The 18,257-nt window shown below is 39.5% G+C and overlaps 1 protein-coding gene across 17 annotated transcripts in view; it reads left to right on the top strand.

The window, feature by feature from the left end:
* The window catches only part of DMD (dystrophin), a 2,220,167-nt gene that overhangs the window by 463,178 nt on the left and 1,738,732 nt on the right, over positions 1–18,257 (top strand).

Below are 18,257 nucleotides of genomic sequence, written 5' to 3'. Positions count from 1 at the left end.
TATGTCTTAGGGCTGAAAAATTGAGAGGATGGTGGTATCATTGGATATGGTTAGAAATAGAAATAAGCAAAACTATGATGGGGAAGTGATTTGTATTTGGGATATATTGTCTTTGATGTATTGATGGGATATCCAATAATCTCCGGAAAATATGTCTGGATCTGAGGAGGGAAATCAGTGTGTGTTTGATAGGTGTAGCAGTGAGAAAGTATCATAGGCAAGATACCACAACTAAAGAAAATGGTTTGGGGGTAATCAATATGGAGTTTAAGCCATGGGGGCAGATGATACGGCAAAAGGATATTATACACAGTTAAAAAGGAACCCAAAACCAAGTCTTGGAGAATTCACATTTAAATACGTGCAGATATAGAGAAGCCAGCAAAGAAGTGTTAGGAGAAGTCACAGGAAACTGTAAAGTGTCTGGTCACAGAAGCAGCAAGAAAAACAGTTTTTAAGGAGGTGACTACATTGACCAAAGGCAGTGATTGAATTGAAATTTACTTGGGGTCTGAGAAAAGACCATTCGGTTTTCTGGTTGCTTTGACTAATTTTAAAGTAACAATTTCAGTGGAGTAGTAGACCATAACCTATAAATGCATTGATGTATTTATTTATTCATTCACTCACTAATTCACTTATCCAATAGTCATTCATTTATTCTTCGGTGCTTACAACCGGGCCTGGCACTGGATTAAAGTGAAATTAGAAGTAGATAAACTGGTAGAGATAGCCAAAACATATCTCCCTACAGAAGGGAAAAGAGCAGAAAATTATCATGGAAACACTTTGCATAGAGTTTCTCACAGCAGGTTGAAAGTATCCTAAGGTTATAGCAGTGTAGGCTGGAGGAAAAGGAGAAAATACAGACTAGGCAGGACAGGCACTGGGGAAATTCAGGTGTAACTAAGAAGAGACTGAGTGCTGGGAGACAGGGTGTAATCTGTTAAATAGAAACATAGGCAATAGTAAATCAGGGAACCAGAAAGAGTTCAAGAGTCGATGAAGAGGGACATGTATCAAGGTCTCGATCGAGAGGGCTGTGATTCAAGGCAGAGCCTCCATTCCAGAGGGAGCTTAGGATACTCTTCTGGTTTTCTATTACTATGTAACAAAACACCCCAAGTACAGTGGCTTAAAATAACATCTCTTTTATCTTTTTATCTGATTTTGTGAATCAGGAATTCAGCCGTGTTCAGCTTATTGATTTTTCTACTCTGTGTGGTGTCAGTTGACATCACTTGGCAGAATTCAGCTAGTGGATGTGCTGGTCTGGAGGGTTCAAGACAGATTCACTTAATGCTTAATGCCATTGTGAGAATGGCTGAAAGGCTCAGTTCAGCAGGGACTGTCAACCAGAGGACTTGTAGATGTCTTCTACAGCATGGTGGTTTCAGGGTAGTCAGTTTTTATGCATGGCATCTTAGGGCTCCCAGAGTGAGTATTCTAAGAAACCCATAAAGAGGCTAAAAGTTACTAATAATGATCTAATCTTGGAAGACCTATAACATCATATTCGTTGCATTCTACTTGGCAGACAAGTTGCTAAGACAAATCCGAGCTTTAAGGGGAGAATTAGATGCTGCCTCTTGATGAAAGAAGTGTCAAATAATTTTGTGGCCATTTCTAGTCCATCATAACTGCTGTAAATTTCCTCCTCCTACCATGGTATTGAGTGATGCATATCTCACAGGAGGAGAGTGTGTCAGTGACTCTAGCTGAGAAGGGCAGAAGAAAGAAGATCCTTGCACAAACAAGCCAGGCGAGAGAGAAAACTGGCAGTTTTTAGGAAAGAAAAGAGATGCATCTTGGCAGGAAACAATTGATGGTAGCCAGAGTTCAAGGCTCATGCTGACCGTTCATTCTTCTACATTTTCTAAGCTCAATCTTTGTATCAATAGAGAATATCAGAAAACTTCCTTGGGGAATCTTACTTTGGCTCTCTGTAAAAATGAACTTGTCGCAATGTTCTACCCTCAACAATGGGTGAACACAGATTTAAGAAAAAGACATGAAAAGCTTATCTGTTCTTTTGTGAAAGTGCCAAACACTTTCTGTTAAGGTTTTCATTGTTGTTAAAGTGAAAATTTGGTATGACAGCTGCTGTGAGGGATAGACTTAAGGCCTTGCAACTCAAATTATGGTCTGCAATCTAGGAGCACCAGTTGAGGTTTTGTTAGAAATGTACATTTTCAGGCGCTATCCTAGACCTCACACGAGTCTGCACTTGACTAACATCTTCAGAGGTTTCATGTGCAAACAAATGTTGAGAAACTCTGATCTAAGGGATGTTTCATTATTCAGATCATTGCAAAGGACTTGTTAGGTTCCTGTTCTTGGTCTTGTCCCTGTGGACTTCAGATTGAAAATCTTACCCTTAGCTTAGGCTAAGATAAAATTCCTTTCCTTTTATTTGATGGCAATTATACATAACATGTCATTACTTGATTTTTATTCGACTTTGGAGAAGCAAAGGGTTTTGGCTAATTTTTAGTAACTATTCTTAGCTTTTACAATGTTATCATTTTATGTTTGCATTTTTTCCTAGCCTTATTTAGATTCTAGACACAGAATAGGGGACTGTGAGTGCTGAGAGTATCCTTAGAGAATAACCACTGTAACCTACTTCATTTTCATATAAGAAATGAATGCTCAGAAATGTGCCTTGATGTACTCATGGCTACTTAATCAGTGGTAAAGCTGAGCCTAGAATTATTTCCTCAAAATTGTAGTCCTCTGTACACTTGGATCAGAATTAACAGGCAATGCATGTCATAACGGGCTCATCCAGGTGGTTCTAATATATACTAAAGTCTGAGAAACAGGCCTGAGTGTAGCTTCAATGTCTGCTCTCTCACTCTAATGCCTACTGCCTGCCATATCTAGATGCCTGTGTGTATGTGAACGAGGAGGGAAGAGAATTAAATCCTAGAGATGTTGGTAGCCAATTATCTCAAAAGCACATATTTAGGGGTCAGCTTTTAAAAGGAGGAGGGGGGCTTATTCCCCTGACATTTGAGCAAAGCAGGAAAGGGTCGGTGATGAAATGCCATGTGTCCTGAGGACCTACAGGCCTGGGTTATATGACCACTTCAGGAATTGCATAGCAATCAAAAAGGGAACTAAAAGAATCGGAGGCTGGGTAAAATCAGGACTAACAATTGATAAAGCAATTATGATCAACAGTGAGTGAGAGAAGGAGATTTACCTGATGGTGAGGTGGTAGCCACCACTAAGATTAGTTTAAATAAGATTAGCCACCACTAAGAGTTTTAAAATGAATGCATGAGGCACTGGAGTCTTCCATTGCTTCTCTTGCCCTCCTTGATGTCTTCTGACAGGAGCCATAGAGATCTTTATAAAACACAAACTAGATCATATCTCTCCTACCCAAAGCCTGTAAAAGCATCTCTATTACATTTAGTTTAACATCTCTACTGTGGCTTACCCCTTATCCTTCTTTGCCCACTAACTTCATTTAGCATCCACTTCCCCTACTTCCCTTTGTGCATCTTGTGCCTGCTATCTGTAATTCTTCCCTTTTTATAAAATCTCCTTTTTAAGATCATACCTTGAATTGTATCTCTTCAGAAAGGGCTTCCTATAGCTTAGCCTTAAAATTCTTTTTCAGTTGACTTTATTTCTACCTTAGCATGTAAAATGTTGTCATCTCTTATTTGTTGTTCATCTTCTTGAGACAGTAAGCTCCAGAAATGCAGAAACTAAATCATTATTCAATCTAACCTCATGTGATATCTGTCACATTGTAGATAATACTTGAATTTTAAAAAGGGGACAGAAGTTTCAAGAACAGTATACTGTGGTTTAAGTGAGCAATTCACTGTGTGTGATCCATGGGGTAGGATGGTTCGAGGTAGGTGAGAAAGCATGAACTGGCCATGAACATGGACGCAAATTGATCAAAGTCATTGCAGCTTAGCAGGTCAAAAAGCTGTGAGGTCAGAGCATCAGTTAAAATGTTCAATGGTAGTTGGTCATGATGGCATTAGCAACCTTTAAATTTAAAGGGACTTAAGTCACATCCAGAAATCGGGGATGACAAGCCTATAGTCATCCTCTCTTGAAGTCTTCTGCTGATACAAGTAATCATTCAGTCTGTTGGTCTCTATCCCCATGTCACCACCAACGATGACTGGGATCCAGTCAAGCCCTTGGATATCATGTCCTCTCTCGTGTCCTTTTCATACCAATTTAATCATGCCTGGAGTGCCCAGAAGCATACTTTCAGTCTCGCCTGCTTTGACACCTGACTCATTCATGCCTTAACCTACTGTGCTAGTGTTATGATGGGGAGGGAGGGGGTGACTGAGTGGATTTGACCTCCCAAACCATATTCTAGCAAGCAAGGTACATCTTAACTCTGGAATTCTTCTAAACCTATATAGGGTTTCTGAAACTTAGTCTCAGAGTGGGAGTGGAATGATACAGTACTTTGTCAGAAGCTCATAACAACGACTGTGTCTTACCATAATCCATTACAATACTGTTCTTGTTCCAGTTGAACAGCTGGAAGTTGAAAAACATTTCCTTTGGAATGAGTCAAACTGTATCTTACACAATCTTCCCAGCTCTTATTTACGAGATAGATAATGTCATTGGTGCTCAATATACTAAGGATTTTTCAATGCAGGGCTCTAATCTTATCAATAGATTCCAGGGAATTACTGAGAAACACATTATTTGATCCTTGATGTCTCTTTCCTTGTATTTTTATAGTAGCACGCTTGAGGAAGTACACATATATAGCTTCCAAGAATGAGGGAAGGCATCAGTTAATATGTTAAAATAGAAACCTCCCACTTGATCTTAAGTATGGGGAGGGCGGGGGAAGGAGACAAGCCTTAAGCCTGTTTACCATTGCAGGTAAACAAACATGAAGATCAAATTCTAAGTAAGGAGAGTTTGTTATGGAATAGCTGAGACTGAGGGCATAAAGACAACCATTCAAATTATTCTAGGGTTTCAGAAGACACTGAAGAAAGAATAGGGAGATGAACTGTTGGTGAAGCAGAGAGGAAAAATAGACCAAGATTAAGAGAAAAAAAACACGGGAAAAGATTGCAGGTTGGAGGAGGGTGGGTCTATCCAAGGCTGAGGTCGAAGCTTACGGCAAGGATGCAGGGGAAGAATGTTTTGTTAATGGTAAATAGATTGCAAAAATTCTGTAGTTTGCCTGTTCATTCTGATGATGGGTTTTGTGGTTTTTTTTTTTTTTTTTTTTTTTTTTTTTTGCTGTACAGAAGCCTTTTAGTTCTATCTCAGTTGTTAATTTTTAGTTTTGTTGCAATTGACTGATGTTTTTGTCAGGAAATCAAAATCTTTGCCTGTGCATATATCCTGAATGGTATTGCTTAGATTTTCTTACAGGGTTTTTATAGTTAGTGGGTTTTGTGTTTAAGTCTTTAATCCATCTTGAGTTAATTTTTGTATAAGGTGTAAGGAAGGTGTCCAGTTTCAGTTTTCTGAATATGGCTAGCCAGTCTTCCCAGCACCATTTATTAAATAGGGAATCCTTTCCCCATTGCTTGTTTTTGTCAGGTTTGTCAAACATCAGTTGGTTGGGTATTAGATGTGTGATCTTATTTCCAAGATGTTGGTTCTGTTCCATTGGTCTATGTGTCTGTTTTTCTACCAGTACCATGATGTTTTGGGTAGTATAGTCTGAAGTCAGGTAGCATTAGGCTTCTAGCTTTGTTATTTTTGCTTAGGATTGTCTTGGCTATATGGGCTCCTTTTTGGTTCTGTATGAATTTTAAAACAGTTTTCTTTTTTTCTAATTCTGTGAATAATGTCAATGGTAGATAAATGGGAATAGCATTGAATCTATAAATTATACAGTATGGCCATTTTCACAGTATTGATTCTATCCATGAGCATGGAATGTTCTTCCATTTGTTTGTGTCCTCTTAGTTCCTTGAGCAGTGGTTTGTAGCTCTCCTTGAAGAGGTGGTGCACTTAGCCTGTTAGCTGTATTCCTACTTACTTTATTCTCTTTGTAGCCATTGTAAATGGGAGTTCATACATGATTTGGCTCTCTGTCTATTGTTGTAGGAATGCTTGTGATTTTTACACATTGATTTTTGTATCCTGAGACTTTGCTGAATTTGCTTGCCAGCTTAAGGAGATTTTGGGGTGAGACGATGGAGTTTTCTAGATACACAGAAGAGACAGTTTGACTTCCTCTCTTCCTATTTATCCTTGATTTCTTTCTCTTGCCTGATTGCCCTGGCCAGAAATTCCAATACAGTGTTGAATAGGAATGGTAAGAGAGGGCATCCTTGTCTTGTGCTGGTTTTCAAGGGTTTGTCATACCAAAACCTACAGCCAGTTTTTGCCCATCTAGTATGATATTGGCTGTAGGTTTGTCATAAATAGCTCTTATTTAGAGACATGTTCCATCAATACCTAATCTACTGAAGGTTTTTAACATGAAAGGATGTTGAATTTTATCAAGACTTTTCTGCGTCTATTCATTCCTTTGCATTCTTTTTTCTCTAATCTTGTCTGCTGGTGTTATTTCAGCAAGATAATCTTCAAGCTCTGAAATTCATTCTTCTGCTTGGTCTATTTGGTTATTGATACTTGCGGTAGCATTGTGAAGTTCTTGTGTTTTTTCAGCTCCCTTGGGTCATTTATGTTACTCTCTAGACTGATAATTCTTGTTAACAGCTCCTGTAATGTTTTATCATGGCTCTTAACTTCTTTGCATTGGGTTAGACCATGCTCCTTTAGCTCAGTAAAGTTCGTTATTACTCATCTTCTGAAGCCTACTTCTGTCAATTCAGCCGTCTCAGCCTCTGTCCACTTCTGTGCCCTTGCTGGAGAGGAGTTGCAATCACTTGCAGGAGAAGAGGCACTCTGGCTTTTTGAGTTTTCAGTGTTTTTGTTTTTTGATTCTCATCTTCATGAGTTTGTCTAGTTTCAATCTTGGAGGCTGCTGACCTTTGGATGGGGTTTTAATTGGGATTTTTTTTGTTGATGCTGTTGTTGTTGCTTTCTGTTTGCTTTTTTAACAGGTCCCTCTTCTATAGGGCTGCTGCAGTTTGTTGGGGGTTCGCTCCAGACCCCATTCACCTGGGTCCCTTCTGCACTTGGAAATGTCACCTAAGGAGGCTGCAGAACAGCAAAGATGGCTGCCTGCTCCTTCCTCTAGTATCTCTGTCCCTGAGGGTCACTGACCAGATGCCAGCAGGAACCTTCCTGTATAAGGTGTCTAGCGACTGCTGTTGGGGGTGGGTCTCACCCAGTCAGGGTGCACGGGATCCAGGACCCACTTAAGGAAGCACTCTGGCTGCCCCTTGGTCGAGGGGGTTTGCTGTCCTGGGGGAATCCCACTTGTCTGGGCTTCCCGGATTCTTTAGAGCCAGCAGGGTAAAGACTAAGTCCGCTGATCTGCGGAGACCATGGCCACCCCTCCCCCTAGGGGCTCAGGTCCAGGGGAATCGGAGTTCTTTCCCTAAACCCCTGGCTGGAGTTACTGGAATTCCTGCAAGCAGGCCCTGCCCAGTGAGGAGGGATGGGTCAGAGTCCGGCCTAATGAGGCAATCTGGCCATTATTTGCCATAGCTGGTGTGCTGTACTGCAGGGAATTCCTCCTGGGTTCAAACTGTCCAGTCTCCCTCAAACCTGAAGGGGAAAAATGGTGGACTGGAGCTGCAGTGATGGCTGCTGCCCTCCCTACAGGAGCTCAGTCCTCTCAGTAAGCCGGTAGCCACCGTGATGGCTGCTGCCCCTCCCCACAGCAGCTCAGTTCTCTTAGGTGGCAGTTCTCTTAGATGCCGCCCCTCCCCGGGAGAGCTCAGTCATTTGCTGTAACAGGCAGCTGCAGTGATGATGGCCGCCCCCGCCCCCGGAAACTGAGCAGTCTTAAGGAGTCGTCTCCATCCGAGTGGCCTGCGAGAATCTGCACAGCTGTGTTTTGAGACCCAAGGCCCTGTTGGCATGGGCTCGCAAGTGGGATCTCCTGATCTGCGGGTTGCACAGATCTGTGGAAAAAGAAAGATTTCCCAGGCAGGGTAGGACAATCACTCACTACCTCCCTTGGCTGGGAGTGGGAGCTTCCCTTGTCGCGTTTGGCTCCCAGGTGGGCCATGGCACCACCCTGCTTTTCCTTGCGCTCTCATGCCAACTGCCTAGTCAGTCCCAGTGAGAGAACCTGGACACCTCTGTTGCTGGTGCAGGATTCACTCACGGTTTTGGTTCTTCTCAGTGGGAGCCTCTGACTGCAGCTGTTCCTAGTTGGTCATCTTGGCCTCTCTCCATATTTTTCCATTTTTGATGTAACTTTAAGTTTTTGCTTAAATTCCCATATTGGATATTACAGTCTAAAATCAAGAGAAGGTTAATGTGGACCGAGCCATTATTTAAATTTAAGGTTCAAAGAGGTAGGTCATTCAGCCAGGTGAGTGAGCACCAATCTTTTAAAAAGTTGGTTAACTATTTGATAGTTTCCACTTTTCAAGCTGATAATGATATTTTAAACCAAGGTCATTTCAATTTCCTTTTGGTTCAATATTTTTGGAAAGTTGCTACCTCTTTGAAATAAAAATATTTTGTACAGGATTGTTTACAATTAGCAAATGTTTGCTGATAAAGATGAATCACTGAATTAGGTACCTTTTGTAGTTATGTAATAAAGCTCTTGGTAAAAACTTCTATTTAAGCAGTTATAACTAATTTTTCCTATTGAAATGTCAGGTACCTATTAAGATTTTCTCATAGGGCAATTTTAAATTTTTTCTTTGAGCTTTGTAAGAAAAAAATTGTCAACTCTACTTTCCTTTGGCTCTTATTCAACTTTATTTTAAAATGCATTTTTCTAGAAACACTAACTAAAGGTGACAGTTTTAGTTCACAGGGAACTATTTTTGATTTACTATTTTTGTTTTGGAAATGTCTGAATAAACCACTGGAAATTATAGCTTATAATGAAGAAAACAAGATAAACACACTTTTTATCTAAAGTGACAGTAAAAATCTAGCAAATGGGAGAAAAATAAAGTCAACTTTTTTTTTTTTTTAACTTCTCCAATTGAACGTCAAATGAACATATTGGGCAAGGAATACAACCTTAGTTGCATTTACAATACAGTGGCTACAACAGAAGAGTTAAACACTAAGTCTTACGAAAGGTAGCTTTAGAAATATTTGAAAGTTGGCCGGGTACGGTGGTTCAGGCCTATAATCCCAGCACTTTGGGAGGCCGAGGTGGGCGGATCACGAGGTCAGGAGTTTGAGACTGGCCTGGCCAATGTGGTGAAACCCTGTTTCTACTAAAAAAATACAAAAATCAGCTGGGCGTGGTGGCATGCGCCTGTAATCCCAGCTACTTGGAAGGCTGAGGCAGGAGAATCGCTTGACACTGGGAGACGGAGGTTGCAGTGAGCTGAGACCACACCACTGCGCTGCAGGCTGGGCGAAAGAGTGAAACTCTGTCCCCCCCCCCCCACCCCCCCACCCCCCCCCAAAAAAAAGTGTGTGTATGTATATATTAAGGTTGACACTGTATTTAAAAAATTTCTATGAAACTGACAAAACTATTGCTTCGTTAATTCTTTTTTGCAAGATTGCATTGGAGGAACTGCATGGAATATAATGACTGTGTTCTTTTCTAATAGCACATGAGTCAGATCTCTAGAAACTGACTTTTGCCCATATTCAATTTCAGCAGTAAAATAATTTCTAGCTTGATATTTCTCATAAAAACTCCTAGGGCTCTTTTAAAAATATTTTATAAATATCTTTATAATGTGGCTTAATTTTTCAGACATCTTCTGTGTAGAAACAAATATTCATATGTATGTACACATATTAGCTATTGCTGTGTAATAAGCCACCTTGAAACTCAGTAGGTTAAAACAACCAACATACTATTTCAAATACATATGTTAGCCAGGAAGTTCTTCACCTTACTGCTAGGATTACTCGTGTGTCTCTAGTTAGCTGGGGGTTGGCTAAGGGGCTTTGCTGATCTCAGCTCAGCTCTGCGAAATGTCTGGCTGTCTGCTAGTCTGGGAAAACTTCATCTGGGACAACTAGGGCAACTTGACTCGGTTCCACTTGTCTCATCCTCCTGCTGTCTAGCTCTGATGTGCTCTTACGGTAAATGCAGAGGCATGAACAAGAGAGCAAAAGTGTTCAAGCCCTTTTGAGGTCTACATTTGGGAGAGGAAATGCCAGCACTTCAATTGCACTCTGTTGGTCAAAATGAGTCAAATGCCAACCCAGATTTAAGAAGCAGGGAAATAGATACCAACTTTTCATGAGAAGAACAGCAATGCTACATTGCAAAGGGTATGGATTCAGGAAAGGATGAAATACTAGGCCCAATTTTGTAGTTAACTTACCATTTACAGCAGTTGCTCCTGGACAGTATGGCTTCCTTGCCAAATATTTTTGCATGCAAATAATTGGTAAACAGTGCCAATATTGGTTTTTCCTAAACAATACTATGTTAAAGTGTCAGTCAAAATATGAATTAAAAAATGCAAAACATGGTAAGAGCTTCTCAAAATTAGTTATGTTTGAAAGGGTGAAAAGAAAAGACAAGCAGACATTTGCCTAAGCAGCTTTGGGTGGTTAATCAAGTCGGTACACTCGGATGGGGTGTCTTGTACCTCTCTAGTCTCATGTTCCATCCGTCCACTTACGTTCCAAGAAGTGGCTTATAGTTCCTTGAACAGTGCGTCTATTTCATCTGATCCTTAGCATGTGAAGTTTCCTCTGCTTGACTTTATCTTCCCTTTACACTTCTACCTGTTGATAACCTGTTCAACCTTGTATATTCTATTCAGGGATTTTCACTCTGTTGTTCTCTCCAGTGAAGATATCTTTTATTTGTGCCAGCACCATACTTACGACAAAAAAATCACTATTAATAGGATTATAACACCATGCTATAATTATATTCGCTTAAATGTATATTTCCTTCCTAGGCTATTACAAAAGCTGTGAAAACAGTGGCAGTATGTTTTTATCTTTTATCTTCCCATTTTTCTTAGGACAGTATGATGCATAATACTGGTTACATTTAGTTGAATGACTATCCCCCTCGTCTGACACATAAGGAAAATAAGCCAAGTGCTATGTAATTTATCAGTGTTCACACAACTGGCAAAATTTAAATTATAGAACTGTAATAAATAAAGGCCTATTTGCTTCCAGATACTATATTATTTAACTTACAACTACACCGAATCTCACATGGAAGACTTTCAAGTAAGGAACTGGCACTTTTCAGTGGATCTTAAGAAATGGCTACACTAAATGCCCTAGTTAAACTTTTTCTTCTGTTTACTACTACCTCATTTAATCCTTATCAACTTCAAGGATTATATTTCTTATATTTTGATTTATATAGCCTTAAGTTTTTGTTGAATGATATTTCTTCTTTAGTTAATATAAAAAGCCACATTTTTCAAATACATTAGAGTGAATTATACATTCGAACAATTTGCAGTGTGCTCTAAAATAGTATTTAGTAATTGAGTCTGCTGAGCACACTGGAGTCCTGAGGAGTTAATGAAACCCCCGATGTCAAATGATATAACAATAGGAATTTGGGACTTTGAAGAATTTTCCTAATGTATATATGTAGAATTATCACTGTTACTATCTTTCCATTACAAATGGGACCTACAATTAGGAGCAATTTTATTGGCAGGCTATATAACTGTATCTGACCTTTTGGAAATGATAGAAGAAAGAAAAGATATATTAAACTATCTTTGTAGAAAAGATGACGTAAAGGCTCAAGTAAAACTCACCTAACCCTTGCCCCTGAATGTGATGATAGTCAAGCCCAGCTTAAACAGCAGTTGCAAAGTAAAGAATGGTGTAGAGATCTGTAGATACACTGCCTAAGTCCAAATTAGTATCTAGCACTTACTTGCTGTGTGACCTTATTCAAGTTACTTATATTGTGTCTGTTTCATCAGTTGTAAAATGGGGGTGACTGTGAACATTAAAACAACCCACAAAAAGTACACAGAAGTAGCGCTGACATAAACCAGTCGATGTGTGTAACTCGCATCTTTCTGATACATGAGGTAGAGTCATATAAAAATTGTAATATTTGACAATATTTGACTTCAGAATTGGAAATTGCATAAAGTTGGACCACTAAAAGGAAATAAAGCATAGCAGTGACAGACGTTCTCCTTTAAATATTTTATCCTCTGTGACTTTTGACAGAAGATCTTCTTTAAATATTGTATCCTATGTGACATTTATCTTTTCTGTGTTTCCAATTTCTTTGATTTGGAACTTCCTGTAGACAGACCCTTACAGGCATGGAAGAAGAAAGAATGAATAAACCAAGGATGACTTCCCAGTAGGTGGAGGATGGGAATAATTAGGAAGAAGCTGTGTCTTGTCACCTATATTGTCCATACACAACTGCACCGTAGGGTAATTGAGAAATTATAAGAATGGTAATAAATACGTTTTACATTCATTAATTAAAGTCATCTTTGGATGCCCTTTGTCCATAATGTTTCCTCTACTAGATCTGAAGCCTAAATATCACTTTTCTTCTCTGCAATTTCCCTGGAACTGAGTACTCATAGATGTTTGTCTAGTGAGCCATTCCATTATGTCATGGTATATGTGTGTATTTGTGTGTGTGTGTGTGTGTGTGTGTGTGTGTGTGTGTATAAACACAATCTTTTTTTTTTTTTTTTGAGACGGAGTCTCACTCTGCCACCCAGGCTGGAGTGCAGTGGTGCAATCTTGGCTCACTGCAACCTCTGCCTCCCAGATTCTCTCCCACCTTAGCCTCCCAAGTAGCTGGGACTTCAGGCGCGTGCCACCATGCCCAGCTAACTTTTGTATTTTTAGTAAAGGTGGAGTTTCGCCACGTTGGCCAGGCTGGTCTCAAACTCCTGGCTTCAAGTGATCTGCCCTTCTCGGCCTCCCAAAGTACTGGGGTTACAGGCATGAGCCACTGCGCCTAGCCTATAGATTTCTTTTTTGAAGAATCAGTGTTATTTGCATGCTTTGAAACAAAGTGCTTCATCTTGCCAACCTTGTACCATACCGTTTCTGTCAGAAAAGCAACCATTGGGATAGATTGTAATTAGCCTTCATTTCCATCACTGGCTATCTCAAATGCAAATCATGTATCTATGTGAATCAAAAGAAAAACTGGATTTAGGCCTGGTGCAGTGGCTCATGCCTGTAAATCTCAGCACTTTGGGAGGCTGAGGCAGGTGGATCACGAGGTCAGGAGGTCGAGACCAGCCTGGCTAACAAGGTGAAACCCCGTCTCTACTAAAAATATAAAAAAATTAGCCAAGCGTAGTGGCTCGCGCCTGTAATCCCAGCTACTAGGGACGCGGAGGCAGGAGAATCGCTTGAACCTGGGAGGCGGAGGTTGCAGTGAGCCAAGATCACGCCACTACACTCCAGCCAAGGTGACAGAGTCTCAACAACAACAAAAAACTGGGTTTAACTTTCAGAATGTTCAATTTTATAGGGGATATTTAAAGGTGGTGTAATTAGTATAATCATGGATTGTAATCATTCCACAAATTTTAAAATAACTTTGTGAATTACATTAATACATAAAAATATAAGATAAAGCATTTACCATAATTTTATTAATATTTCCTTTAGAATACCTGGTAAAATGAATGAGTACTGACCTAACTTAAAGATAAAACAATTGAGACCTAGCTTTAGAAGTTAGTTTTATTACAAAACATGTTAAGGATAGACCTGATCAGACAATGAATCATGCTGACTTTTTGTTAAGCATACTTCTGGGTTCATAACATCCCACTTACATATAACAACTTGATTTCCATTAACGATGGTGTGGTTTCCTATTTAAAGTTCGAATGCACATCTGTTTGAATCATTTCTAGTGTACTTAATAGAGTAACATACATATTGGGTTCTAGTTAAGATGCTTTATAAAATGCCAAATAACATTTTATATCTGGAGAGATTATAAAAACTTGTATTTTGTAGCTTTGCTCTTGAACACTTGCTAGCTGCAAGGAATAACTTGGCTTTTTCTTGATGATCTTCATAGCCAGATTTTCGTGCTTTTTTTGGTAGAGAGAAGTCTCTACAAGTATTTGACGCTAAGGAATAATGAATAAATACCTACTGATTTTATCTGCTAAGGTCCACAAAACATTCCAGTATTTTGATATCACTATTAAAGAAGACGACGGTGTTCCAGTGATACATATGATTCCTTACAATGACATCACCAGAGATAGAAATATGAGGCATGGGAAGTAACACGTAGGCCTTCATTTATTTTCTGATATGGACATCCCTGGCATTGATCTCCTTGGCTCAAAGGAAATTTGCTTCCATGTCTAGGGTGGTGAATGTCTTTGGCTTATTTCTTTGGCCCTACTCTCCACTTTTGTCTTCCTTGGGAGGCTGATGTCTGTGGACTACATCAACAGGCTCCTTTGCCCTCTGGCTACTAGTTGGATTTGGCCAATGAGAGCCTTGGTAAGAGAGGGAGAGAGGAAAGAAATTCCATCACCCAATATCAAAGCTCCTGTCAGATAATCTTCTCTTCTCAGTTCTCTCTCTATGTAGTAACTAGAAACCACTCTCCTTCTTTTCATTCTTAGGAGTCTAAGAGTAGTAGTGACACTTCTCTATTACTAGTTCCAGTGGTTTCATTATACCTTCCCTCATTTTTATAAACAGTCCCTTATTAAACTCTTCTCAGATTACCAAAGTCCTGCTATGGCCATATAAATTTCAAAGGAGAGTGTCATTCTCCACCTCCAGGTGATAACATTTAACAGGAGGGAATGTAATTTATTTAATGTTTTTATTGAGCATTTTCTATGCTAGGTACCATACCAGACATCTTACATTTATTAACCCTTTTAATTCTCATATTTTGAAGTTGGTCCCTTCTGTTACTTTGAGGCCAACATTACAAGGAAAGTTATAGACGATATGGATTATTTGGCTTAGAAAGTTTGGAATAAACGTGTGATAGCTAACACTTACAGAATATATCTTACAAAGTGCCATACTAAGTTCACTTAAATCTTTGCAATATCACCACAACATAGGTAATGATACATGCTCTTTCTATAGATGAAAAGAGTAAGGCACGGAGAAGTTACTTGCCCAAGATCACACTGCAGAGCTGGGAGTTGAACCCAAGGCATTCTGGGTGTACAGTCAACATTCTTATTCATGGCATCATACCATTCCCCCGTGTTTTCCAAAGCATATTTTATCAGTGTGACTTTTTTCTAAATTCCCTCTGCATAAATCTAATGTATTTCAGTCACTAGTATTCTAACTCAAAATACAAAACCAGCATTTTTCTATCTTTAGGTGACTCCTTTCAAGAGAAAACTAACCTATGATGCCACAAGTCGTCATAGTGGCCATTCTTGAGGGGAGCTTCCACATAGGGGGTGTGAGGAAGCTGCTAGGGTGTTGATCATATTCTGTTTCTTAAATCTCGATGCTGGTAATATAAATATGTTCGGTTTGTGACAATTCATTGAGCTGTACACTTAAGACGTGTACTTTCCTCTATGTATATTATTCCGCAACAGAATACTGCTTTATTATACAATACCTTTTCCAACTCATATTTAAGAAAACAAAAAAAAAATCAACTCGGAAAGCTTCCTATTTACATGAAAATGGGTTGCCTTATTTTTCTGGGAGCTGGTCAGCAGCGTTCTTCAGTAAGTTTTGAATCCCCAGTTTTGCAATTCTTTGTGGTATTTGCGATATTTTTGGTGTTTCCAATGTCTAGGGATTTGTAATTGCAGAAGTATCTTGACTTTCTTAGCGACAGTTATGTCCATGGCTTGTCCTTTTTGTAATCAGAAGGTCATGCTAAATTATCCCTGTGTTCTTTACTTTCTACTGAAACGTATTGATCCCTTTGGATTTTCAGGTTAAAAGACCAATACAACTCTGAAGAATCAGAAACCACTTAAACACCTTCACAAATGCATTTCCTTTCTCAAATTTTTTTACTTTGATTTGTTCCACTTTGATTTGGTTCACTTTATTTATGCCACTTGTCAACCTACCTATCTGTGTTTCTTTTTGAACACTGTTTGTGCTTCCGTATTTCTTTATTTCATACTAAAAAGGATTTGGAAGGAATACTGTCTCGTTTTTAGGTCCTTTCGTGTTGTGGTTTGGGTTAACAAAGACAATATATATGCAGATACATTAAACTGAGTAATATCAGATATCCACTCAGTTCACTTGATAAGGGAAATCTTAGTCATAAAATGAACTGAAGACAGAGAGCTACAGGGTCGCCTGGCCCAAGGAGGAATTCATGTTTTGTGTGCTTCACAAAATAGTTCTCATACACTTGAAAAGGAAGCCATTAAAGGTTGAATTTTAAAGAAAAAATATTGTTCTTAGGATATAAAATGCCACCTGCAACAAAGACATGGTGTATGTTGAAGATGAAAGGGGAGAACAACAAAAGAATACTTAAAAATAGTCAAAAGAACAAGAAAAGGGAGGAAAAAGCAAGTTTCTAAGTGCATCCTCTGTACCATCTGCATTCACCAGTTTTAGTAATTGTATAGGGAATAATGCCTTCCCCTATTGACTTGCACTCCCACAGGGATGCCAAACTAATAGAAAACATTTTACATGTATTCTGCACTTTCTAATATAATATTTTTATATTATCGAAAAGACTTTAACTTGTGTGTGTGTGTGTGTGTGTGTGTGTGTGTGTGTGTGTGTGTGTGTGTGAGATCTTGCTTCGTCACAAAGGCCGGAGTGCAGTGGCACGATCTCGGCTCACTGCAACCTCCACCTTCCTAGTTCTAGCGATTCTCCTGCCTCAGCCTCTCGAGTAGTTGGGATCACAGGTGTGTGCCACCACGCCCAGCTAATTCTTGTATTTTTAGTAGAGACATGGTTTGACCATGTTGGCCAGGCTGGTCTCGAACTCCTGACCTTAAGTGAGCCACCTGCCTCAGCGTCCCAAAGTGCTAGGATTACAGGTGTGAGCCACTGCACCTGGCCGAGTTAAACGTTTTTACACCTAGAATTTGGTCAAAGAAAGAGATGCAGACAAATAGTGTTAAAATGAAACATAAAAATCAATCTATATTTATTGAGTGCATACGATTTGCCAAATCTGTATAACGTTCCTATGTGTTGCAGTTGAACCTCACGGGAGTGCTCTGGAGTAATAATTTGAGCCCCATTCTAATAGTGAATAAATTGTGCCTCAGAAAGGCTGTCACTTGCCCAAGATAACACAGCTAGTGAGTGAGTGAGAGACCTGAGTTCAGAAGTTAGCTATTTCTGCTTCTGAAACTTGGGTTACTTTTGCTATAGTATCTATAATTCTATAGAGTAAGTTGCAGGCAGGAAAATTAGAACCATCCAAGAGAAATAGTATGTTAGATTTTACCTGGGGTATTCATACTACAGGGAGAATAAAACTGAGCACCGAAAGGTCTATAAAGTTACAGGCTAAATGTAGCACATTTCACTAAAAAAAAAACCACATCAGACCGTGGGAACGGGGGTGGGGGAGATTTTTACTCAAAAGTACTTAAAATTACTTTTACATAAGTCCAGGTGTGATGGCTCATGCCTGTAATCCCAGTACTTTGGGAAGCTGAGGGAGGCGGATCACAAGGTCAAGAGATGGAGACAAGCCTGACCAACATAGTGAAACCCCGTCTCTACTAAAAATACAAAACTGAGCTGGACGTGATGACACATGCCTGTAGTCCCAGCTACTTGGGAGGCTGAGGCAGGAGAATCACTTGAACCTGGGAGGCGGAGGTTGCAGTGAGCCAAGATTGCGCCACTGCACTCCAGCCTGGCAACAGAGCGAGACTCTGTCTCAAAAAATAAATGATAAATAAATAGTTTTACGTTGAAACAAGCATATATTAAAAGAAGAAGGCAAAATCTCTAGGAATTTTTAGCATAAAGTATATGCTTTCAAAGAAATTTAAAACCTGCAGGCACTGTGTAATTTATACTGCCAGACTCCAGGGTAAATTCCTTCAATTTCATTTCCTGGAAGGATGCTCTGGTAGAATATTCTGAGAAGCACTCTATTAGAGAATATGGTGAATATGACTAATAGAAATTGGATTTCAATTGTGATACTTTAATATATCATTGACTCTGTGAGTTTCGAAAATAATACGATAGCAGGAACTGTTTCTCTATCACCTCACTGCTTTCTCTCTCTCGGTGCCCCAGCTAGGTGTACATGGAATCCCCTACCTGAC

This window comes from Homo sapiens, chromosome X (genome assembly GCF_000001405.40).
Source record: "Homo sapiens chromosome X, GRCh38.p14 Primary Assembly".
In the NCBI taxonomy this organism is placed as follows: Eukaryota; Metazoa; Chordata; class Mammalia; order Primates; family Hominidae; genus Homo; species Homo sapiens.
The sequence above is the reverse complement of the archived record's forward strand: the minus strand, read 5'-3'. Positions and strand labels throughout refer to the sequence as shown.